Raw genomic sequence first — 27617 nt, 5'->3', positions numbered from 1 at the left:
GCCAGGTGCAATCCCAGCTACTTAGGAGGCTGAGGCAGAAGAATCGCTTGACCCTGGGAGGTCGAGGTTGTATTGAGCTGAGATCGTGCCACTGTACTCCAGCCTGGGTGACATAGACTGTGTCTCAAAAAAAGAAAAAAAAAGAAAACAAAAAAAAAAAAAGAAAAGTGAACTGTAAAATGAAAATTGTGGAAAAAATTATTATATTAGTATTTTGTTTAATTTTTTTTTTCTTTTAGAGACAAAGTCTTGGTCTGTCATCTGGGCTGTGATCATAGCTCACTGCAGCCTTGAACTCCTGGGCTCAAGCAATCCTCTGCCTTAGCCTCTTGAGTAGTAAAGACTACAGGCTTGAGCCACCATGCCTGGCTAATTTTATTTTATTTTTGATTAGATAGGATCTCACTATGTTGCCCAGGGTGGTCTTGAACTCCTGGTCTCAAGCCATCCTCCCACCTCAGCCTCCCAAAGTGTTAAGATTTACAGGCACAAGCCACCATAACTGGCAATAACTATTTTTCAGTGGGGTTAACGGTCATGTCATTGTAGCTTGTGAAGTCTCAATATCTAAGCAGTATTTTACAGAATTTTATAAGGCATAAAAATATTTCCAATAGCACCACTTCAAATTGTTCTTCCACAGTACATTTAGGATTTTATTTAATGAATAACCTGATGTTGATTAGTATAACTGGTGAATACTGCATTTATTTCCTTCTTAAAGATTCCTGTGTCTCTGCAGGCTGGGTTAAATCCCTTTTCTCTAGCTTATATATGACTGGAATATCCTTTTATCATAGCACTTATATTATTACTTTGAAATGCTCTATTTGCATGTCTATCACCAAACACATCCTTATATGAGTAATGTATAAAACTGAAATTCAATTTCATGAAATAATATTTATATTTGTAATAGGTAATGTATGCAGATATTTTCCATCCCATTCCATTGTCATTCCTTCCTTTCCATCCCATTAGAAACATCGGTGCAACCTAAGATACTGATTTAACAAATTTCTAATTGGTGTCAAGCTGTGGTTTGAAAAAAAAGTCCTAAGGCATATCTCTCTGATCCTTGTATCTCTGGTGTTTAGCATATAATCTAGTACTGTTTATTGATGACAGATGCGTAGAGCTTTTTGAGTACTGCAGACGTAAATTCTAAAACAGGAAAAAAAATGCTGCTTCCACTGTGCTTAGCATAGGATTTTCTAAATTCACATTTTAAGTACTATTGTGTGCCACAAGCCATAAATTGTGTTAAAAATAAAGAGCTGTAAAGCCTTATTGCATTGCATTATTGTAATCCTACTAATACCAGTATGATTTATCCACGTGCATCCAGGAGTAACATACTGACAGATTCTCAATTAACACAAGCATTTCTGAGCTTCTAGTAGGCAGCTCTCGTGTATTAAAAGCTTTATCACTTTCAACATGGAAGTAGCATACAAGCTAAATAATTAGAGTATGTAAGAAAGAACAAACTTTTATTTAATATTACTTAAACATAAGGAAAACTTGTACATTTAAAATGACTACCCAGATATAAATCAAGACAAAATGATTCTTTTGTAAAAGAAATAACAAAGTCTTCAAAAAAACCTGAAACAATATTGAATAAATATTTAAAAAGTTAATAAGTATTTGTATTTATAGTGTTTTTATGAAGTTGAATATACAGATAGGTAAATTAATACCATAAAAATTTGTTATGGAACTCATAATACATATATTTACATATATATGTATTTTTTCTAGTAACCTCCCTTGTTCTCTTGCTGTTACAGCTAAATTTAAAAATTTCAACCTATTTCTGTCAAGCTTTGTTCCAATTATATGACTGAGAATGCTTTTGCTTCAATTACCAATGATCTAATCGTTGTCCATTTCAAAGGATACTTTATAATCTCTCTCTCTCTCTGTTTTTTTTTTTTTCCCCCAGATCTGTTCTCTTTGATACTGTGGTCAGTCTTGAAATTTTCTTCTTCCTTGGCTTCTTTTCTATTTTTTTTTTTTTTTTTTTTACATTTTACTGATAGTTCCTCAATTTTCTCCCCAGGTACTTCCTCACTTGCACCTTCAATTTTTGTGTCTATTCTTGTTTTAAATAGTCTTCATAGGAAATCTTACCTAGTTTCAAATATTGTTGGAACTCAGATTTCTAAATCTATGACACCAACACAACATCTCTTTTGAAATGCAGATTCATACATCTATCAAACTCCCTCCTAAATATAATTCCCATTAAGTGTATTGAAGTTTCATCAAACTCTACATATCTGAAAAATAGTTATTTCCCTCACCTTGCCCCTCACTCTAATATGAACAAATGTATTTCTTCTATGCTACTTTAATCATTATAGATTTTTCCTCTTTCACCTTTCTCTCATGTAATTATTGACTGAGGTGATTTTTTTAGATATTAAATATTTCTTGAATATCTCCACATCTTTATTCCTATCCTGCCCATATCAGCTAGTATGGCCAGGAAAACAGAAACCACTTTAGGTAGAAGGTATTTAATACAGGAAATTAGAAACAACATGGTTGGAAATCAGAGGCAGGAAACATCAGAAGAAAGTGGTCTGGTATTTAGAGAACCCAGAAATGCAGGAATCATAAAGTTGATGCCAATAATCTCAACCTCCTGCAGGATGAAGTGAGTTCTAAGAGCTCTGTACTCATTATAGATCTTGGTCCCTCTAAAATACCCCTTGAAGCTTTGTGGGATCAATTCCTATACATTCAGAAGCTATGTCTGTCTGTCTGAGGGCTTTATCTGGCTGTACAGACATGCTGCATGTGGGGCAGGACATGAGTATCAGAAAATGAATGCCCCAGGAACAACCTTCAACCACTGAGGATCAGAAGTTGGTGAATGAACATGGCACCTCCTTACCCTCAGTGGAACAATTCTGAAGTCTAGTCTATATAATCCCTCCAAGGGTTTCCAGCAGGATTGAGCCTCAGTTGACTACAGCTGTAATCCATATGTCGATGTCATTTTATTGGCTTTCTTCCCTTCCTTGTGTCACTTTTCCACCTCTTCTGCTTCTGGATGAACTCCAAAATAAGCTACCTGCTCTCAAGTCTTGTTCATAGTTTAAGATATGATTTATGCATTGCTTTTGGAGGAGGACAATGCTTCTCTTTCTTTTCAAACTTCCACATTTTATGAGAGTGCATCTTCTTGGCAGAATTTAACTCAGAAAATTTCTTGCAAGTGTCTGGCAAATACAGTTTTTAGGCTCTTAATTCTTGTGATAGAGGGAAGTATTTACTTAGAAAGGCAAGGATGACTTTGAATATCTTTGATGACATATTCATGACACCATCAATGTATATTTTAAAACATGCAATATGTATTATATTTATATGGCCCTTGGGATTATATATTATCCCATTGAGTATCAACACACATTATCTAGCAGAGCCCACATCATCCAAATTTGAACTATACACATTTAGGCAATAATAACTATGTCATGCAGCATAATGCAACTATATCTTAAATGTAAAAATATACTCACCATCTCCCCAAAAAGGAGACACAAAGCATTTCTTGTAGGTGCTAATTTCTCTTCTAGCTTACTCACAATGTCACCAGGATATTCTGTAAACTAAATGCTAAATTGAAACAATTCATTTTGTTAGATGTTAATCCTTAAAAAAGCCTACAAACCTTGCATATTGTCTTTCTAACCCAGTTTTCCATTCTCATTCCACACTGTGCTTTGCCTCTCACTGCTTCCTGCAGCCATGCAGGCTTTCCTTGACTTTATTGTGTTCCCCAAGCTGGCTCTACCCCAGACGTTGCACATGCTCTTTCTGATGTTCTAAGTGAATGTAACCTTTTTTTTTTTTTTTTTTTTTTTTTCGAGACAATCTCTCTTTGTCGCCCAGGCTGGAGTGCAGTAGTGCAATCTCAGCTCATTGCAACCTGTGCCTCCTGGGTCCAAGGAATTCTCGTCCTTCAGCCTCCCAAGTAGCTGGGACTACAGGCGTGTGCCACCATGCCAAGCTAATTTTTGTACTTTTAGTGGAGACAGGGTTTCGCCATGTTGGTCAGGCTGGTGTTAGACTCCTGGCCTCAAGTGATTTGCCTGCCTCAGCCTCTCAAAGTGCTGGGATTACAGGCTTGAGACACTGTGCCTGGCCCCATCTTCTTCTTCAATTAACTTTTACATCTTATCACAAGGACCATTTCCTCAGGAGGCTTCATCTGACCCTGTGATTAAGCCAAAGTCCCTTAATGTGTGTGTTTACATACATATATATGTATGCATACATATACATAAAGCATCTCTCTCTCTCTCAGCATATATATATATATATATATATATATATATATATAATTTCATAATGTTTCATTTTGTACTTCTTCATGATTGGTTGGTTGATTATTTTTCTTCTCATCATATGTACCTTGATAACATGATCATTTATATTTGTTATATTTTTGCTATTATACCCCCAGCACTGAGTATAGTGTATAGTGTCTAGTACATGTAAGAATCTCAATAAATTTGTTAAATGGATAAATGCAAAGGATATTTTATGAAAAGAATTATAAGGATTACTGACATTTGCATCATAAACTGTATGATGTTATTATTACATATTACCTTATCTTAGAATTATATTTTTCTCAAGACGTGCTTGTTAGTTGTGATTCTCAGTAATTCCAGAAAGGATACTTTTACCATTTTATCATCACTTAGTTGTAGTTTTTAAATTAATACTATTTTTGGGTTTAAATTATAAATCATTGATATTTTATTGTCATTTTATCAATGACTTACCAATTTTCAGTGGTTTACCTAATCCAATAGAATGCAGCAATGCATACGAGCATTAGCAAGAATTTTGATCCATAATATTGCAATAGTTAGACTTAAAAGCACAAATCGATTCTTGTGTAAAATGAATTATTTATAGCTCTCTTGCTGAAGAATGTACATAATGCTCCCAAAATTTGTTTGTAAATCAAATTTCAGATAAATTAGCTGTGGGTGATTGTCCCAGTTTAATTGGTTTCAGAATATTTGAGAACCATTTCATTTAGAGGGGTTTAAGTTGTGTCTTATTTATCTTTGTGTTCCCCAGATCTAATAGAAATCTGGGTGCTTACTAGCTGGATCATATTTCAAAGGCCAGTCCAAGTTTATGGATTGGTACATGTGGTGACTCTAATTTGGCTTAAGTAACACTCTAATTTTCTTCTGAGTCAGCAATCAAGAATACAAAGGTTATATACCACCAGTTGGATATACATGAATGAATAAGCTCCTCCATATTTCCATAGTTTCTCATGGAGATGTGCCCTTAGTCTATCACTATTAGGTTAATCAGGATATAACACATCATAACTTGAAAGAGACACACAGTATATGTTCAGTGAATTCAAACTTTTTATTCCTTATTCTATAATCAGAATGAATTTTCCATACTTTTACTAGTAAACATATGTAATACTGTACATACAATGAGTACATGTAATAGTGTGCATGTATACATTAATACTATATGTAACAGTTTAGTGTTTATGATTTTAAAGAAGGCATTTCTTATGGATACTAGTCATTAATAAATACTCTTCATTGGGGAAATAAAGTGCATACTTTATTGTTTGTGTGTGTGTGTGTGTGTGTGTGTGTGTGTGTGTGTGTTTTTGCGACAGCATCTTGCTCTGTTGCCAAGGCTCGAGTGCAGTGGCATAACCCTGGCTCACTGCAACCTCCACCTCCTGGGTTCAAGCGATTGTCCTGCCACAGCCTCCTGAGTAGCTGGGACTACAGGCTGGCCTGTAGCCAGGCCATGCCTAGCTAACTTTTATATTTTTAGTAGAGACGGTGTTTTGCCATGTCGGCCAGGCTGGTCTCGAACTCCTGATCTCAAGTGATCAGCCTGTCTTGCCTCCCAAAGTGCTGGGATTACAGGCTTGAGCCACCATGCCTGGCTTTTTTGGTTTTAAGTACATGTCGTTTTGATTAACTGAAATTATACTTTTGATTACATCTTAGTTGATTGAAATTTGATGTGATTGTAAAGTTGTAAATGTTTATACTTTCCTTAAAACTCACAGAAGATATAGTTTGTATGACTGAATAGATTTGGGCATTTTTAATGTAATTTAAATAATTAGATAAAGGGCACATCTGGAACATAAGGATCTACCATAACTTGAGGATGGTACTGGATTGAAAATACAATATTGGTGGGAAAATTTGATAAACCTTAACACAATTTTCTTCGCCAACATAATGCCATGTGAGTCAAATAAATTTTTTTGTTTTCGATTGTTTTTACGTTTATTTTGAATATTCTATATTGCTTATTTCATGGTATATAAAGAAATTGAGCAAGATATTACAAGGTTTATTTTCCCCTTTGGATTAAACTTTAAAGCATAATACTTAAAGTAATAGAAAACTGACATTTGTAGCTGTCTTTTGTGCCCCTGTGTATGTGGTCTGGTCTAGACATGGAGGTCAATATTCTCAGCAACCTTTGATAAACTCTTCATTTTCAAAAATACCCTCTGAAGAAGGTACCAGAGTAGTCTTTACACATAGCCATCTGTTTTGAGCCTCTATAATGTAGAAAATATAGGAAAATATTTTTGCAATTTTGGGGTCAAATATTTCTTACACAAGGCACAGAAAGCACAAACCATAAAAGGATAAGATGATAAGTTAGACTTCATAAAAGTTGAAAACTTATGCTCATCAAAGAAACACCATTAAGAAAATAAGTAGGCATTTATATTCTTGAGAAAACATATACCATACATAGATTTTAAAAAGGATTTTATCAGAATATTTAAATAATTTCTAAAACTCAGTAATAGCTTTTGTGTTTAAACCTATGGTCTTTTTCAAATTATGTTTGAGTATTGTGAGAGATGTATTTGAAGTTGTTTTTTCCCCTCATATGGATATCCAGTTGTTTCAATACCTTTTGTTGAAATGACTTTCCTTTTGGTGTCTTTGTAAAAAGTGACTATATAATTGTGTGTCTATTTCTGGACTCTTAATTCTATTCCACTGACCTATTTGTCTATCCTTATGCAACATTACTGTGTCTTGGATACTATAACTTTTAGAATAAGTTTTGACATCAGGTAATGTGAATACTCCAATTTTGTTCTTATTTTTCAAGATAATTTTGGCTATTTTGAGTTCTTTGTATTTTCATATAGATTTTACAAAGTGTTTTGTCAGTTTGCACAAAAAGGAAACTGCTGTGCTCTGCTGGGGCTCCACATCTTTGTGCAATGATTTGGAAGGTGCCTCCAGATTGAACCACTGGTGATTGTGGGACTCACCTTATGGTGTACCCTTATGTCACAGGTTATAGTTCTCTGATACCTGTTGTCAAACATCTCACTTTGATGCTTCATATATTTTGTAAAGTTTTATAGTTGTTTCAAGCTGGATAGTTAATACAGTGCCAGTTATTCAGTCATAGTTGGAAACAGAAATTATACATAGAATTTTACACCCAGAATTCTATACAAAATGTAGGAGAATATTATATAGGAAATATGACTTGTTCTTATGTTTTTCTTCAACAGTTCAGAAATGTAGATTGGAACTATGATAATATAATACTATGTAAACAGAAAGTGCTATTTAACACAGAAGTTTAAAAACATCAAGTGAATTTTTGGTTGAATAAATGGATATTGTTTTGCCTGATCAGAATTTTATTTTTTGTTTATTGACCACTTAGGTTGTCATTTGAACAATTTCTCTTTAATTTTCTTAATTAATTAAAGGTGGACAATTAACTCTTTTGGGAAACTTTAGAAATGAGTGTGGCATTTTGATGAAAAGTCTGTTTTAAATCTGCTTTACGTAAATGCTCTTTTTTTGTGTTTGTGTGTCTTTAGTACCAATTGCAACAGGCCATTATTCAATGGGTCCAACAGTTTGAGAATGTAGTGGATGGCCCAGCTGGATTTCAGTGTGTACTATACCTGTGTAATTATGGGGAAAATATCTCTCACTTGAGACAGAAATTTAATTCCATTATTTGAAGCCATGAGATTAGATATTTCCTATGCATCAGTTAAAATCGTCTAATTTCTAAAAAAAGTATGTAGAGTATGCAAGGATTTGCCTTTACTTAAGTATTTATGACTTTATTTTCTTTGTTTTTGTAGAGACAGGGTCTTGCTCTGTTGCTCAGGCTGGAGTGGAGTGGCGTGATCATAGCTCACCACAGCCTCCAACTCCTGGGTACAAGGGATACTCCCAGCCTCCCAAGTAGCTAGAACTACAAGTGTGTGCCACCATGCCCAGCTAATTTAAAAATATTTTTGTAGAGATGAGGTCTTGCTATGTTGCCCAGGCAGGTTTGGAACTCCTGGCATCAAGCAATCCTCCCACCTCAGCCTCCTAAAGTGCTGGGATTATACCTTTGAGCCATCACGCCCAGCCTATGACCTTATTTTTATCAATACACAATATATTTAAAGGTCTTAGACACACACACAAATTTACAAAAACACGCAAAGAATTATGAAGAACTGTCAAATGTTAAGTTTATTAAAGTGTGGCAAGTCAGTTGATTTGGCTTGAAGTATGATCAAAAGTGTTTTTTGATAGTTTCTGAAGAAATCATAATATTGTCAACTTAGGGAAATAAAGAAACTTAAATATATTAGAATAACTAAACATAAACTACAATTGTTTATTGAGTTACTAAATAATCCAGAACTTCTATGGGCCACAAAAGTATTATTCTGACATTCTAATGGTTATTTTATTCTTTGTTTAGTTTTGGCAGCTAACTATGGATCCACCTACATGTCAGTGTTAAGGCATTGACTCTTTCCCTCCCTGACCTAACTCCCATACAGAGTTACGCAATATTGAAAATCTTTTTCTCATTGCGATCATATACAATTTTGTGCTCCTTTACAGCCAATGGTTCCAGCAAGGGAATGGGAAATATGAGAGCACGAAGATAATGGGTTTAGGAGAAAATTTGAAAGTAAAATAAATAGGTCCTTGTGGCCAAATTAAATAGGACCTCGTGAATTTTAAATTCCCTCAATTTAATGTTGAGGAAATGAATAAAAAAAAGAAGAGAAGAGATAGTACATTCTAACTTTCACCTATTTGTTTATTCATTTACTTAACAAACATTGATTGAGTTTGTACTATGTCTCATTTAGCATGTCAAAGCTCTGGGAATAAAAGATGACTGAAACAGGATTCTTTTCCCTAGGAAGGTCACAGTCTGATAGAGGAGGTAAAAACACATCCAGTCAACTATAACACAATGTGATATATTAAGCTTTTACTCTGCCACCATTATATTTAATGTACTGAGGGAAGACAAATGAGTGAACAACTAATTATATTGGGGAAAGTATTTGGGAAGACTCTAGAGAAGATGTAACAATTGTCTTTAATATTAAAAAATGATCTTTCTAAGGAGAGATATGTGGCAAAGATGGTTCAGGTAAAGAATGGAGGGAGCAATGTAAAAGGTGTGAAGTGCAAGGCATAGTTGGAAAAAGGGAAATCATTTGGTATAAACAAATTTAAAGAATATGTTGAAGGAGTCATGGAGGATGAAACTGAAAAGCTAAATTGTGACCAGGTTGCAATAATGTAAAAATGTTTGAATTTTACCTTGTAAGTTACTGACAATCATGAGAGATTTCTAAAAGGGGAGTAACAGGAACAGAGTTATACTTTCATTAATAACTTTAGGGGTAGGATAGGTTAGGGATGATTAATAGTATAGGCAAGATAGTGGAGCAAGAAATGATGGGGAAATGGGTAAGGCATAGGATAGATTTAAAATACAATTTGAAAGTAGTTACCTATTGCTGCAAAAATAATGACCTCTAAATGGCTTAAAATGACAAGAAATCTTTATGTTCTCACACCCTTCCTATGAGGCAGGAATTCAGGAGCAGCTTAGCTGGTTGGTCCTGGCTTCAGTTTCTTCATGTGGTTGCTGTTACATGTCAGCCAAGCTGCAGTCATTTAACAGCTTGACTAGGGCTAGAGGATTCTCTTTTAAGATGGCTCAATCATATAGCAGAAAAGTTGGTGCTGGAAATTGGCAAGAGGCTTAGGTTCTTTGCTCCAAGGACCTCTCCATAGGGCTATTGGAGTTTCCCCCAAATGCATGATGAGCAGCTTCTCTCAAAGTGAGTAATGCAGGAGAAAGAAGGCTTTCGTGACTTGGCCTCGGACATCGCACTCTGTGATTTCTGCAATATTCTATTGGTATCACAATTCAGTTCTACCTAGTGTAGGGAAAAACACAGGGGTGTGAATTCCAGTGCTGAGGTTCACTGGGAGCAGTCGTGGGGCTTGGCTCCCACAACTTTATCCTGAACATGTCAATCTGTCTCTTTGTGTGAGTCAGTTCTATAGTTTTTTCATAAAGGCAGGAATTGCTACTCACAATAGCAACTACTCTTATTGCACTGGTCTATTCATGAATGCATAATAAATGCTTCTGTAATTTCTAGCAAGTGAGAAAGGTGCGGTGAATTTAGCTATTGTCCAGACTTCAGGCAGCAGGGAGAATGGGATTGGCCGCTGTCATTGTCACAAAGCTTGTTAGCCCTAGACAACAGAGTAAGTGGGAGAGAGATTCATTTTAAGCAACATCCAAGTAACAAGAGTATCTATAGGGGAAAATACATGCTACTTTGATCTTTTGCTGAGATATCTTTCCCTTCTGTCTCTGGGCTAGGAACCTAGATTGGTGCAAAGGTCAGTTTCTTATGGCAAAGGACAGGATGAAGGTGTCATTCTAGGCTTTTAGAATGTGTATGTGTTTATGCATGCGCTTGAAGTATTTTAAACACTCTTCTTATGTGTTTTAAGTATTTAAAATCCAGGAAACAAGTGATATAGTGCTCACTCTTTACTCTTGCTCTCCTAACATGCATATTTTATCTATTTAAAGCTATTTGGAGATCATTTTCCACTCCTGCATTTAAGAGTTGTATGTATATATATATGTACTTTCTCTTTCCATGCCCTTAAATTCTCATTTAGGAATACCTCTTGGACACTCAGTCATTCTTACAGAGAAAATAGTGAGACAGAGTTTTAAAAATATTTATTTTCAAATGTGAAATAGAACCTATTATATGAGTCCATTTTCACACTGTTATGAAGAAATACCTGAGACTGGGTAATTTACAAAGAAAAGAGTTTTAATTGACTCACAGTTCTGCATGGCTGGAGAGGCCTCAGGAAACTTAGAATCATGGTGGAAGGCACCTCTTCACAGGGTAGCAGGAGAGAAAATGAGTGCCTACTGAAGGGGAGAGCCCTTTATAAAACCTTCAGATCTCGTGAGAACTCACTCACTATCACGAGAACAGCACTGGGGGAAATCTGCCCCCATTAATCAATTATGTCCTACCAGGTCCCTCCCACAACACATAGGGATTATGGGATTGCAATTCAAGAGAAGATTTGGGTTGGGACACAAAGCCAAACCATATCACATGTTCTAGAGACATCTCTTAACGGTTACACAAAAACCTAACTGAATAATTGAGGTCATGCCATCCTGCAATAAAAATGTTAATAGGCTTTTAAACACATTGAAATGTGCATTGTCCAGATGCTTTCAGGCATAATTGCAATGACATTGGGATCTTATTCTGAGTTGGCAATGTGCTGCAATTATTTTTTTAAGTCAGCAGCATTTAATTGATTTGAAGATTATTCCTGTGTTTGATATTTGGATGAGATTGACAAATACCCATTTTTCTAGAATAACGTTTTAATGCAAATTTTTTATGACAGAGTGTCTGTGATGCCAAATGTTGCTCTTATTTTCCACAAGAGAGCATAATTATGATTTTACATCACTAAAATTATTTCACATTTTTGATTAAAGTTGGCTTGCTTTCTGTCAATGCAGTTGAAAAATGAAGTTTATTGATATATTGTAAAAGTATTTCACTGGTTAGTGTTTCCACACAGAAATTATCAAATAAAACAATGCCAGTGAAGACTGTTTTGGGCAATAAAGTTTAGAATATATGTATGTACCTTTTTCAAACAACGTGAATGTCATCATGAAAATTACAACAGTTTATTAAGGATAGCTTTTTAAAGTGATGTTGTAGAAAGAGACTGGATAAGACACAAAAACGATGAGAAAAACACTTTCAGTCCTAAATTCATTATTTGTTAGTGTGGTTTTTAAGTAAGTCATTTTACATCTTTACTTTCAGTTCTATCCTGTGTGTCTTGAGATTAATAAATGTACTTTATAATCATTGTGAGGATTAAATGAGCTAATATATGAAATAATTTTAGTATACAGCCTAGAAATATTAGCATGTGATAAATATTTATTTCTGTTTCTAAATTTTCTTCATTCTTGCCTTCTAGTTGAAAAGTATATTAGATAATGGGTAAATCTAAGAAAACATGTTGCAACAAGAAAAAAATTTTGTGTAATTGTGTGTGCTCAGTTATTTCAGCTGAGGAACTAATTTTGCCAGTAGATGTAATTTGCTTAGGACTAAACAAAAGTTTATCCTGTGAGCTATTTTGAACAATTTTATTATAAGAATTATTTATTTTATGGAAGAATCTTATATAAAATATTTAAAGTAGGATCCACATGGCGGCCAACAAGATTATAATGATAATATTAATAATAAATCTGAATTCCTTTATATGAGACGAGATTGGCAATTGTCTTCAGCTCCCAACATTTCCTATTGTCTTAGTGGCCACCTTTTCTCCTTTGTATTACCTTAATGGTTCATGTAAATATTTGTTGTTTGTGATTTCAAGCATCAGAATAAGCTTCCATCCTAAGGATTTATCTTTGGCAAGATAATTTCCTTTTCCTAAGTGGAAATTGCCTGCTAGAGAGTCAGCAATAGTAACACAAATTCATATACCTGTCTTCATCTACTATTTTCAAAAGCCCAAAGAAACAGTAACAACAACAAAAACAATACCTGATTATACCAAAACAGAAAAGAGCAAAACAAATCAACTTTGACCTAAATAGAGAAAAATAATCCTCCCTCTTTTTTAGCTTCAGAATGATAGCATGCTTCCTAAAGCCCTACCATAAATAGCATTATTTTCAACATGGCCAATTTTCTAATATACCAATACTCATATAAAACAGGGATCTTAGAAATCAGCAGTTTCAGTTCCAGGTCTTCTGAAAGCTCATATAATTCTTCTGAATTTTTACCGACAGCTTTGGGGATTGTACTTTTGATGGTAGGGCCAGCTTTTCTTACAAATTTTTCCTTTCCTTTAATTTGAAAATAATATTTACTACAAATGCTTTGGTTTCTTATTATAATTGCCATCATACAGTTAATGAAAACTAAATTTTATTATTATAACACCTAACTATGAACCTCAAATTCAGACTGTCTTGGTTTGTTTTTTTGCAAAAGTGGTGTAAGTTCCCCAACAATCTGATCATTGAATTTATACTTACTCTTTACCCAAAGTTAAACATATCTTAATTGGACAGTGTCCTAATAAAATAGTGTTAGGTATTATATCCAGTCTCTCAATGCTCATCAGGATTTATTCTCATGCTTATTTTACTATACTTGCTTTTCTATTTTTTTTTTTGCCTTTTTAATCTTCTCATGTTTGCCTTCAAATGAGTAAGAAGATGGAGTGTGGGTGATAAAATGAGAGGAGTCCAGGTGTTTCATTAATATGAAGGACATTCCACTACTTAAAAAAAAAAGTTTGTGATTTGAGATCAAATGGGGAAGATAAAGTTGAAAAGTGCTGACATGTTATCAAATCATCAGCATTATGAAACAGCAGGTACCAGAGCCGTTCTAGATATTCATTTATGTTGACACTTTTAGGACACAAGGGAGAGAGTGTGGCTGTCAGTTATCTCATTTTGTTACTTTTGTAAAAGATCTGCTGATTCTTTGGGTATAGCTCTGGTGTCATTTCAAGTTTTTCCTGGCTCTAAGCATCACGTCATCGCCCTGGCATCCTGTGCCTATCTCTAACTGTACTATTTCCTTTCTTCTCAATTTATGTGACTTTTTTCAAGATACTTCAGTATTTTATCTCATTAAGCAGCAACAACATTCACATTCATGTATAAACAGGAAATAATTTTGTTCCTTCATTTCATCAAAAGCCATGTGTTGAAGATTCCTTTATTTTCTTTTTATAATACTCCATTATGTGTATATACCATATTTTGTTTACCCATTCATCTATAAATGAACACTTGGGTTTACTTGTGTTTCTTTTCTTTTTTTTAATTATACTTCAAGTTTTGGGGTACATGTGCACAACATGCAGGTTTGTTACATATGTATACATGTGCCATGTTGGTGTGCTGCACCCATTAACTCGTCATTTAACATTAGGTATATCTCCTAATGCTATCCCTCCCCGCTTCCCCCACCCCAGATTCCTTTATTTTCTAATGCAGGCACTGGGGTATAAAACCTAATAAAATATGGTACATAGACTGAGGAGAGTGGCCATTTCTTCTGCTGTCCTCTGTCTCCAAAGAAATGGAGGAAGTAAAAACTGAAAAATAACAGACTGATCAGCGCCACTGGCCAGGTCTGTCGGTTAAAGATTAACCCCCACCCTAACCACTTGTGCTATCTATAGATCACAGACAATGGTATGGAGAAATACTTGCCTTGCTCACCACCCCCACCTAGTCATGCACCCCATGCTTGCTCAATCTATCACGACCCTGTCACGTGGACCCCTTAGAGCTGTAAGCCCTTAAAAGGGCCAGGAACTCTTTCTTCGGGGAGCTTGGTTCTTGAGATGCAAGTCTGCTGATGCTCCTGTCTGAATAAAGCCTCTTCCTTCTTTAACCCATTGTCTGAGGGGTTTTGCCTGCAGCTTGTCCTGCTACAAGACAATTCAATGTGCAAGGTAAAAAGTGCTGATAATGACGAGTAAAGTGATACAGGTTACAGAAGATGGGCATTCATATCACTTAGGGCAGTGGTGGTTCTCAATCTTGGTCGCACATTGTAATCACCTGGGGAGGTGCTAAAATCTCTATCTCCAGGCGCTACCCAATACCAGTTAAATCTGAATCTCAGAGGGTGGGGCTCAGGACCCAATATTATTTTTAAAGCTTTCTAAGTGATTCCAATGTGAGACCAAGTTTGAGAACCACCAGTCTGGATATTGAAATATGAATTCCCAGGAGAGTTGAGTCTTGAGGTTTTCTTTTTAGAAGTATGAAGAAGCAGAGAATGTCATAATAGGAAGAAAGGGTATCTTTTTAAAGAGTCAAAAGACTAAAAAACAACATGACAAATTTAGGCAACTCACAAGTTATTCAGTATGGTAAAAGGAAAGACAGTGAATAGAATGTGTAAGGTTTGAGGGAAGGGTAGGCAAAAAACTAATCTTCAAGGACTTTGACCTATTTATTTCCAATATAAATGATTGTCATAGCAACAAGGTGGGCACAGGAAAAAGGAAGTGAGTTTAGTGTAGTGAGAAAGGAATAGAAAAAGAGACATGGAACAGTAGAAGTGGCTGGCTGTGAGGAAGAAATGTAAAACCAAAGTGGATAGGCTAGCACCCCATGGAAGGAGCCAGAAGATGAAATGATCAAAGGAAGAAGGATGGGTTGGGGAATGGGGTAAGACAATTTTTGATTGAGGTAGGTCAGGTTTGATATTCAGTATTAAAACTAGACTTAGAATGAGTGTTTCATTTTGTGAATCTCATGGTGTGGATTGGGGGGGCTGGAAAATAGGGTAGAAGGAACTAGATAAGAAGGTGCATATCCTCTGTTACCTGACTGGAGGGATCTGCGCTCAGTTTTCAGGCATGGAGAATCACCTGGGCTGAGGAGTAGATAGTGAGGTTGCTACTTATTGCTTACTTTAATACTCAGGGATTGAAATCCATGTTTCCATATCTCTTCATGCTCTCTACTCTGCATTTCCCCCACATCTCCTGTACATCAGTCTGAATATGGAGAGGAACCATACACCTATTTCTAAATCCAATTTGCTATTGGAGAAGAAACTCCTACACATGATTGCTTAAACAAGACTTTCTGTGATTCATGGCATGGACACAGCTGAGCATATAGAGAATAGGCTATCATTATTCAAACATGGAGGCATATGGAGATTGATAGTGGTAGATTCTCACTGACCCATTGACTTCTTTTATAGGATTACATAACGAGAACTATGGTTTGCATTTGGAAAGGGCATCTCTCTTACATGGGATATAGTTTGTAGCCATGCAAAAGAGACTATCAATTATTCATAGAAGGTTGTTGATCACACCCTCAGGCTGACTTGCATGAATGAATGGGCTGATTTAACTGATTAACCATAGACAAGTACTGGTAAATACACCAGCAGTCTGTCACCTAGGCTGGAGTACAGTGACATGATCTTGGCTCACTGCAACCTCTGTGTCAGGTTCTAACTGATGTCTGAGGGGAGTCAGCGGGGCAAATGGAGGTAGCTGGAAAACCACTCGAGGAATAGTAGACAGTTTTGACATGGCTTTACCCTTTCTCTGGGCATGAGCAAGCTCTATGTACAGCATCAGCAACGTAGTTATACGTTTTAGAGACAATAGTGGTGCCGAGTCAAGCATGAGCTCATCTGGGTGATCACCTAAGGCACCTCACGTGGCATGGTTACATAATGTGTGGGGTTGTGCACCTGTACTCCAAACCTGCTGAGTCATGCTGTGCCAGAAGGCCGCCTCAGTCTACTCCTGACTAAAGCACAGCCATTTCCCTTACACTCCACCCCCTAGGCTGAGGGCATCCTCTGGGCAGGGGCACATGCCCATAGGGTAGAGCCCTGAATCCATAACCCACAACAACAATACAGAGAGCAACAGCTCACTACTAGGACACCAGATATGCTACTTACGACTATTAGGGCCCATCATTGGCCAGAGCCTAAGGATGCCCACCATCTCTGCAGGGGGTCATCAGTAAGGCTCTCGACTCCATTAATCTCTTGTGAGAAATGTTGCAGGGCTGCTGTCATGTTCTGCCGATTGTCAGCGATAAAGGTACAACATTATATTCCTAAAAGAGAACAGGTGCCTCCTCGGGCAGTAGTTATTATGTCTAAGGCCATTTGGTTTTGCAACGCCACCTTACTGATCTGATCAGTAAGGTGTTAACAGGAGGAGGGCCACTTGGGTGTAATTCAGAGCCTGGGTGGTGTGCTCTGCAAGAGCAGTAACTTGTGCTTATGACACCCACTCCAGAGATAGTCATTGCCAAGGAGTAGAACCACCAGGGGGCTCATCAAACTTGCAAAAACTGAGAGTGTAGTGCTTCCTGGTTATGTGGGTGTCTGGGCAATGTGGGGAGAACAATGGCAGGTACATAAGGCCACCCCCAGGTACAACGTCTAGTTCAGTCTGCTGATAGGTAAGGCCACCTTGTGTCCCCACAGACCCATAAACCCCCAGGGGGCACAAAGTCCACTGGAGCTGACCTTAGTGGGGCTGCTTGTTCTACCACACCTTTGGTGTGGTGATACGTGTTATTTTTTCACAGGCTGTGATGGGTACCCATCCCACATTTGTATTACCCCAGTGTTACTCTATGCACCATGGTGCCTGGGCCAGGGATACTACATGTTCCCCCACTAGCCAGCCTCACCCATCATAAACACTATGGGCCAGCAAGGGGGGCAGGTGCACCATGGGTTTTGCGGCATCCTTTGTCCAAAGCTTGCTGCATTGTATTCCAGGTGTCAGCCATCAGACCCCAAGTCTCCAGCTGTGTTGAGTTATCTGCAGGCCCTGATTGTGTGTGCCAAGGTAAGCCATCCACAGCAGCTGCTTCTGGAAGGGCAGTGCAGATCCATCTGTTGGAAACATTGGTCACCTCAGCATAAGTGTGGGCCCAGTCCACAATGCAGTTGGATCATGTTAACTTATGGTCAAGATGACACAGCAGGCACAGATACTAACAGAGGTAAATCACGTCTCTCAGGCAAAATACAGGCTAACCTTTCATCCCTGAATAACATGCAACCACCCAGGGCTTTTGCCCTGGGCGATGGTACCACACCTTCTCAGCTTGCCATGGTTCCTTTGAGTCCTGTATCTGCACCAGAGTCACAGGGGGAGCTCATAATAGGCCACACAGACAGTACATATATCCCCTGGAGGAGGGTTCCTTCCCTGGCCGTTCCCCTATGAACAGTCAACTGTGGGGGCCTTATTTTAAACACCCAAGGAGTGACATGCAAGTCATACTGTAAGCCCTTCTCCAGGGAGATACAATGGCCAACCACCGGCATTGGTGGAGGCGGGGGTGGTGGTTGCAGGGTCCATGGCCACAGCCAGGTTTTCTGTTCTCCTACCTTCAGGGGCATTGGGACAGGCAACAACAGGTTACCATTTGTCCCCCTACCTGATCGGAGGAGGTCATCATTGGTACTTACCTGCAACTGAATGGGGGCAGGGCCAAGGCTGCCTTTCCATGCCCGTTCATTCAAGGTTTGGAGCACTGGGTCCAGTCTGGAACTCCAGCCCCACAAAGATAGGGTTATGACGTGCAAGCATAACCCATTCTTCAAGAGCTCATTATATCACTCAATCATACCCACAGCTTGCAGGTTGTATGGCACACGGAATCCGCACTTTATGTCCATTTGTTGTGCCCATTGTTGTACTGTTGTCCAGTGAAATGTGTTCCCCTATCACTCTCAACAGCCAGAGGGCGAACATACATAGCACATAAATGTTGCAGGGCCTGGATGGTGCTCTGCTGGTTGGCCGCCCTACAAGGGTAGGGGAACAATAGGCCTGTGGCTGTGTCCACAGCTGTTAGTGCACAGGTATACCCTTGTGACTTCGGCAGTGGCCCTATGTAGTATACTTGCCATCTAGTCTAGGGCACTTGCCCTATCATCACTTGTGTAACACTGAGCATCTGCCTCCATTTAGGGTATGCCTGAGCTGGGCATTTCTGACAAGCCTCCCAAATATCTTGTGTGGGCAGGGACAGACCCCAACATTTATTGACCTGTTGCATCAGTTTACCCCTGGCATGTCCAAGTTTCCGGTGTAGTCACAAGGCCACATCTCGTGTAGGTACTGACTCTAACCATCGGACCTTGGCTGAGACATCTGCCTCATCATTGCCGGGGGTGCCCAAAGGTATACGGCCTGACACATGATAAATAGTTATCTTTATGATGACCCATTTCCCAGAGGTCTTGCCACATGGCTTGGCCCTAAATGGGTTGGTGGCTGACTAGCCACTTCTGTATTTTCCAGGTAGTTAACAACAAGGTTAAGCCTTGATAGACCACCTAGCTATCGGTACAGATTACCATAGGTGTCACCTCCTTGGTGATCACCATCCATACTGGGCCATTCTGGGCCTCCTGGGATACTGATGGACATTTGTGCCCCATTTAGCTCAAATAATAATAACCATTGCATCTGTTGCTCTAAGTTCAACCCATTGGCTACTTTGTCCATACCTGGTTTCAAACCATATGATGTCAGCACTTGGTTGGACTGCACCTTCAAGCAGCAGTAGCACCTCGGCTAGACCCATCTGTGTACCATGCCCTATCAGGAAGGGGGGATGCCCTTCCTTAAATGGTGAAGGCTCAGAGTCTAGATGCGGCTCAGGCCCCATGGTCTTATCTTGCATTAGGACTACAGGTCCCAAGATCTCTTACAACTCTGCTGCTAAGGGACTTGTACTCCACTGCTCCAAGTAGGTGCCCACTTCACCAAAGTGGATGTCTGTGCCATCCCAGTCCAGGAGGTCATTACCCATGAACACACCCATCCCGCTATCAGGTAAGTCATCTGCATGACAACTGCAGCCCATCCTGTCACACTCTCACAAGCCTGAAGGGAGGCATATACAGCTGCTAGCTGTTTCTCTGTCAAGGTAAACTGCAGCTCAGCTTCCTTCCATAGTTGGGGCCAAAAGCCTACTTGCATTCTCAGCCACTCTGTGCACTGCCATAGGCCCCAACCAAAACCATCTGTGGTCACATGCACATCCAGCTCAAACAGGCACCCCTGGTCAACTACCCATAGGATTTGTGCCTGCTGAATAGCCCACTTGGCTGCCAGGAAGGTGGTCTCAGCTGCATCATCTGAATCCCAGGTAGAGTCCTTCTTTGTTAACAGATGCAATGGTTTTTTATCATTTGAGCTAAATGGGGCACAAATGTCCATCAGTATCCCAGGAGGCCCAGAAAAGTTTGCAACTGCTTCACCATAGAGGGCTGGAGGTATGTCTGAACCTTATAAATGATAGCCTCTCGGATGGCCTTTGTCTTACCCGACCAGATAACTTCCAAAAATTTGGCAGATAATCCAGGTCCTTGGACCTTGGATTTATTGACAGTCCAACCACATGCTGCCAAATGTTGCTGCAAGAGGGGCGCTGCTCCTTCTAAATCTGCAAGAGAATCAGAGATTAACATAATATCATCAATATATTGGAATAGGCAGGCCCCTTCTGGACATTGCCAGGTGGCTAAATCCGTGGCAACGAGACCATGACATATGGTGGGGCCAAGCACAGAGTGCTGTGGCAACATTGTAAAAGTCCATTGTCGCCTGTCCCATGTGAAGGTGAACTGTTCTGGCTCTCTGAAGCAATGTTAATGGAGAAAAATGCATTGGCCAAGTCCACTACATAGTGGTAAGGTCCCAGTTCCGTTGTCATACAGTTCATCAAATCCATGACTGATGGTACAGTTGCTTGCAAAGGGGGTGTTACTTTATTCAGTTCCTGATAGTCTGCCATCATCCACCAAGTTCCATCAGGCTTTCTAGCTGGCAACATTGCAGAATCATATAGGATGTGGGTTCCTCGCACTATCTGCACCTTCTCCACCTTTTTAATTGTCTCAGTTATCTCTGTATGCCCATCTGGCAAACGATACTGTTGGGTGGACATAACTCGTTGGGGTTGTGGCAAGACCTGAGGCTGGTGATGTGCATGTCCACACAGCACCAACTTCATCACATGCACTCAGAGTCTGAATTCCCCAGCCATGGTTTGTAACACCAGGCCATGGAAATGGTCCACCCCCAGAATGTATTCTGGTATGAGATAGACACACAGAGTATTTAAATGGGGAGCCAAATGGCAGATACCAAGGTGCAGAGATACTGGTTTTACTGTTACTAACCAGCCTCCATAACCGTCAGTGTAAGCAGGTTTGCCCAGAAACTTATCTGGTTCCCCATAAACAAGGCTGTGATCTGCGCCAGTGTCCACCAGCAGCAACACCCACTGTACATTGGTGGGGAACCAGTCGATTGCTAATTCCACATGTGGCCTCTAGTCATCCAGTGTCCTCCCAAGCTGGGTACCTTGGCCAGCTCCGTAATCAAACAGGAAAGGCTCTACATTTCCGGCTGGCTGCAGGAAGTTGTCTTTCAGCTGAAGCTCCCAGGTGGGACCGGGTCACACAGAAATGTCCTTCCCCTTGGGCATTTTCTGGAATTGGTGCTCCAGGGACAACTTTGTCCACAAAGTTAAGAGTACATCATTGGGCTGCTTATTGATTTTCTCTTGGTCAGCTCTGGCCAGAATCACATCTATCCACATCTGTAAGTATGTCACTTGTTGGGGTCCCCTTTTCTCCCATGGGATGGGGGGGCCCCGCAAGCGGAACATCTTCCCCTTCTTTACTGCACAGACCTCTCGGTCCCACCGATGGCCTTCTACTTCCCGGAGAGCTGCCATAGCAGTGGTCACTTCATGTAGGCAGCACCCTACATATGGGGTGAGGACAGCAGCTAGGGAGCCAAAGGCACTCGGGGGAATGGAACCCAACATGAGATCCCTCATGTGGGAGGTGAAATGTTCATCATCTGGCCCCTGGGTGTTCAGGTCAAACATAGCCTGCCACATACCCATCTGCCCAATGATTTGCACCAAACTGGCATATGACTGCCGTTTAGTCACGGTTTTGGGTATTTCACCAGTGTAATTCCACAGTTTGTGTGGCTTCCCATAGCCATTCAATCAGGGTGTGGTCACCTTGCCCTTGTGCCAACCTCCTGCTCACCTGTAATTGCTGATGGAGGGAGGGGTGAGTCGTGATTGAGGCTAGCTTTTCCATCTCAGAGGTGGAACAGAAAATACTATCTGCTCCCTCTTCCCATAAATGAAGCATCCATGCAGGCAGAGGTTGCCCTAGACCCTGGAGGCACTGCTTTCCTAATTCCCACAACTCAGTTGGGGTAAAGGCAGTATATGAAGTATGTTGCATTACAGTGTCACGTCCCTGAGCCTGCCCTTGGGGCCTCAATGGCTGTTCATGATCTACCTTCTGACAGACCACTGGGTGAGCTCACAATGGGGGTTCTTCCTCATCCGTATCAGAGTGGGAATCTCTGGCTGAGACCAGGGACCCAGGCCTGCATTCACAGCAGCCTCTAATTCCTTTTCCAAGCTCTGTAGCCAGGTCTCCAGGTGCCCTGTCTGCATCTGGAAATCCCCATTCATGGCAGCTTTTAACTCTTTTTCTGAGCTGTGTAGCCAGGCCTCCAGGCTCTGTGCCTGCACCTGGAGGGCCCTTACCTGTGCTGCATCCCTCAGGGACTTGGTGTGTACTTCTTGTAGTGCAGTCAAAAATGCCCATCCAACTCTGCCAGCAAAAGCTCACTGCTTCTTGGTGCTCTGCACTTCCAGCTGCTTCAGTGCCTTCTCCATGCTCATGAGGGACCCAGCTACCAACACCCAGGTTTCTACCAGAGCCCATCTGAGCAGCACAGCTGCCACTGGGTACCACAGCCCATGTTGTGGCCACATGACCCAGCCAGAGGCAGCAGGGACTGAAGGCTCACTCACCTCAGGATCCCGTTTGTGATGCCAATTGTCAGATTCTAACTGAGGTCTGTGTGAAGTTGGTGGGCAAGTGGTGGGTAGCTGGAAAAACACTTGAGGAATTGTAGATAGTTTCAACATGGCTTTACTCTTCCTCTGGGTGTGAGCAAGGTGTGTGTACAACATCAGCAGGGTAGTTATATCTTTTACAGACAATAGTGGCTCTGAGCCAAGCACGAGTTCACGTGGGTGATCGCCTAATGTGCCTCACGTGGTGTCGTTACATAATGTGCAGGGTTGTGCACCTGTGCTCCAAACCCACTGAATCATGCTGCACCAGAAGGCTGCCTCAGCCTACTCCTGACTAAAGCACAGCCATTTCCCTTACACTCTGCCTCCCAGGTTCAAGCGATTCTCACCCCTCAGCCTCCTGAGTAGCTGGGATTACAGGCATGTGACATCACACCCAGTTAATTTTAGTATTTTTAGTAGAGATGGAGTTTCTCCATGTTGGCCAGGCTGGTCCTGAACTCCTGGCCTCAAGTGATCTGCCTGCTTTGGCCTCCCAAAGTGTTGGGATTACAGGCGGGAGCCACCGCACCTGGCTATTGCCCCTCATTCTTTCTCTAGTTACTTATTCACCAGGTCATTTTATCCAGTCTTAGGACATTGATCTGGTTTGGCTGTGTCCGCACCCAAATCTCATCTTGAATTAGTAGTTCCTATAATCCCCACATGTCATGGGAGGGACCTGGTGGGAGGTAAGTTAATCATGGGGGTAGTTACCCTCATGCTTTTCTTGTGATAGTGAGTGAGTTCTCAATAAATCTGATGGCTTTATAAGGGGCTTTTCCCGCTTTTGCTCAGCACTTCTTCCTGCCACCATTTGAAGAAGGGTGTGTTTGCTTCCCCTTCTGCCATGATTTGTAAGTTTCCTGAGGTGTCCCCAGCCATGCTGAACTGTGAGTCGATCCAACCTCTTCCCTTTCTAGATTACCTAGTCTTGGGTATGTCTTTATTAGCAGTATGAAAACAAACTAATACACTGACTGAGCAAATAAATTGTTTATGATGTTATACTCTCCTGAGATAAGAATGAATCATTTTATGTCATAATAATATGATATATTCTCTGGATTATTATAAAAGCTTTAAAGTATAATATGAGAACGTCATTTTTACACTTACATCTGGAGTTATATTTGATTTGCCCTCTTAGATAAACTTCCAAGCAATATGTCAAATTGTTCTTTATCTTATTCTAATAATTAATCTAGTATTTGAAATCAAATAGGAAACATTATTTTCGCTTTGTTTTCTGAGTTTCAGTTTGTAATATACCCAACAGTTCTTCTTCTCCTCCTTTTTTCTACCACCCCTTTATCATAATAATGATACATAAAATACAAAATAGGGAGTGGGAACAATTAGACACTTTTGACACATTCCGTGTTCTACATCAATAAATAGGTTTTAAATGGAATACAAGATGATCTGTATTTCTCTAAAACTGACTAATACATTAAGCTAATCTGAGAAAAATGATGTGGTACACAACTTTAAAGGTTAGCTGACAAAACAAATAGTTGATATAGTTTTTTTTTATTTTTCACATTAAGATGTCATATTTCAAACTAATGCTACACATAATAAATTTCTGAGTTAGACTTATCTTTTTCATGAAAATCTGAAATGCAAGCCATTTATGTCTACAACTGTAAATGTAAATTGCTAGGACATATAATATGTTAGTGATCAGAAATCACCAACATATTTTTCTTTGAGTAAGGGCTCTTGCATCAATAGCCTTTGAAAAATGTATCAATTCCTTGTTTTCCCTGATAAGGAGGAAAGGTGACAAAGAGAACTAGAAGCACATGGCCATTTGGACAAATAAACACATTTAATAAAATGTCTTAGAATTGTACATAAAACCAACAAAAAAATGAGTGCATGCAAAAACCAGTGATACTTGAGTAAGATCTGTAGTCTAGTTCACTGTATTGGGCCATCAATTTCCTGGTTCTGAAAATGCACTGGGGTAATGTAAGGTGTTGCCATCAGAGAGATCTGGATGATAGGTACAAGAGACCTGTACTACTTTGGCAACTTTTTGTTATTCTATAATTATTTCAAGTTGAAAAATTTGAAATACAGAAATAAAAACAATACAAAAGTTAGCAAAGCTTAGAATGTGGTAAAAATATTTACAACAGAAAACCAATCACTTGGTATGTTGTCTTTACATTTCCATAGTTTGTATTTTCAGGTTTATAAGGGCACAATTTTATTTCCAAAATAAGCAGCAAAGCAGCAGATACTGAATAATGTAATGTAAAATTGATTTCATTTATCAGTGTAACTGGGAAGTATTAGAGGTGCCAGATTGATATATAACATCTAGTCAAAGGAAAAGCACCCAATTGCTAATTTCAGTGACTCATATGACAATAAACTCAATCTATGCCAGATTTTTTAATGTTCCTAAGCAACAGCAGTCCTCCAGTGACTTCATTATGATCATGTTAATGTGTGTTTTTACTCAAGGGTAGTTTAAGAAGCAAATTTTAACTACTATGAATACTGGAATTACAAGGGGAAATCCCAAATATCATATTATTTTGATATTATAAATAGTTTTATGCATAATGTCAAAATAGATGAGGTTTACAAATAATATCTAGGGCTTGAGGGTTCTTTTGGTGTAGTAATTCATGAGTTTTCTAACCTTAGACTGGGGATATATTTGTAATTTACTTCATTTCTTGTAATTCATTTCAAGCTGGAAAGACTCAGGTTACACTTTCAGGGTTTCCCAGGTGTAACAGCTTATGATGTATTTGTGATTCTGGTGATAACTCTAAATATTAAAACTTCAAGTCTCATGATATTTATACTGGATCTGGCACTGTTACCTAAAATAGAGAGTGGTTGCCTGCTTACAACAGCACTTCCTACGATTTAGTAGTTAATATCCATTTTAAAAATCCAATCTTAAAACTTTTGAAAGTCCATGTAAAGCTCCTTAGTTTCTAGTGATGAAACCTACAAATAGTAAAGTACAACTTAAATACCAACAAAGTACAGTCATGCGCCACATAATAACATGCTGTACAGGTTTGTAGCCTGGGAGCAATTGTGTATACCATGTAGCCTAGGTGTGTAGTAGGCTATACCATCTATGTTTCTGTAAGTACACTCTATGATGTTCACACAAAGATGAAATCATTTAATGATTCATTTCTCAGAACATATCCCTATAATTTAGCGATGCATGACTGTAATAGGGTAATCTAGAAACATTGGAACTTCTATATTTAAGTAAGGGTTGTCTTTTAAAAGGGTGTTATTTTAGGAGTTTTTATGCTTATTTCAGTGACTCTGCCATTGTTCAAATATATTGGCCTCGTCTATGGGCTTTGCCTATGGGTAAAGACCCCTACTTTTAATTATTGTGGTGAAAATCACAAAGCACAAGACCTATCCCCCTAATACATTTTAAGGGTACTGTACAGTGTTGTTAACCATAAGCACAATATTGTACAGCAGATCTCTAGAACTGTTTCATCTTGCATAACTGAAACTTTATACCCATTGAGCAACATATTAGGGTTCTCCCAGAGAAACAGAACCAATAGTACACACGTATACACACACACATTGACTTTGTAATATATCCAACAGTTCTTCTCCTCCCCCTTCTTTTTTCTACCACCCCTTCTTCATAATAATGATACATAAAATACAAAGGAGGGAGTGGGAGCAATTAAACACTTTTGACACATTCCATGTTCTACATCAATAAATAGGTTTTAAATGGAACACAACATGATCTATATTTCTCCAAAACTGACTAATACATTGAGCTCTGTGTGTGTGTGTGTGTGTGTGTGTGTGTGTGTGTGTGTGTGTGTGTGTGTACTGTTGGTTCTGTTTCTCTGGAGACCCCTAATATGTTGCTCAATGGGTATAAAGTTTCAGGCATGCAAATAAGTATATATATAAATATCACAAAACAGGAGACTTATCCCCCTAATACATTTTAAGGGTACTGTACAGTATTGTTAACCATAGTTAACATAGTCTATGTTAAACATAGTCTATATGTTTAAAATAAGTACACAATACTGGCAATGTATTATTAGATAGCATGGCTAATTTCTAGACTATTATGAGAAATTCTTTTAAAAATTTAAATTATAGATGGCTTAGAAGATTATAGAATTCAGATTAAGTCAACTAGAATGTGTTTTTCTAATCTTGCAATTCTATTTCTGTAATAGCTCCTTTTTTTCTCATACCCACCATAAATTATAGTTTTAAATAAATATTTTAGTGGTGTATTTGTCAACCTTTGGCATATATTTAGTTTATATGACTCTCTCTCTCTCTATATATATATATTTATTATACTTTAAGTTCTAGGGTACATGTGCACAACGTGCAGGTTTGTTACGTATGTATACATGTGCCATGTTGGTGTGCTGCACCCATTAACTTGTCATTTACATTAGGTATATCTCCTAATGCTATCCCTCCCCCCACCCCCCACCCCACAACAGTCCCCGGTGTGTGATGTTCCCCTTCCTGTGTCCAAGTGTTCTCATTACTAGGGGTCAAAATACTAAATCTTACTGTGTGTGTCCATAGGGGAACAGATTTCTTTACTATACACCTAACTTGTCCTATGAGCTGTCAAAGGGCTTAAAGCCTTCAAGGATGTTATGTCTTTACTTAAACATATTAATTAACATGGATATTCCCTAAAAAGCAAGAGAAAAATTCCACTTTTTAAATGTAAA

Source organism: Homo sapiens, chromosome 2 (assembly GCF_000001405.40).
Source record: "Homo sapiens chromosome 2, GRCh38.p14 Primary Assembly".
Classification (NCBI taxonomy): Eukaryota; Metazoa; Chordata; class Mammalia; order Primates; family Hominidae; genus Homo; species Homo sapiens.
Note: the sequence above shows the minus strand (reverse complement) of the source record.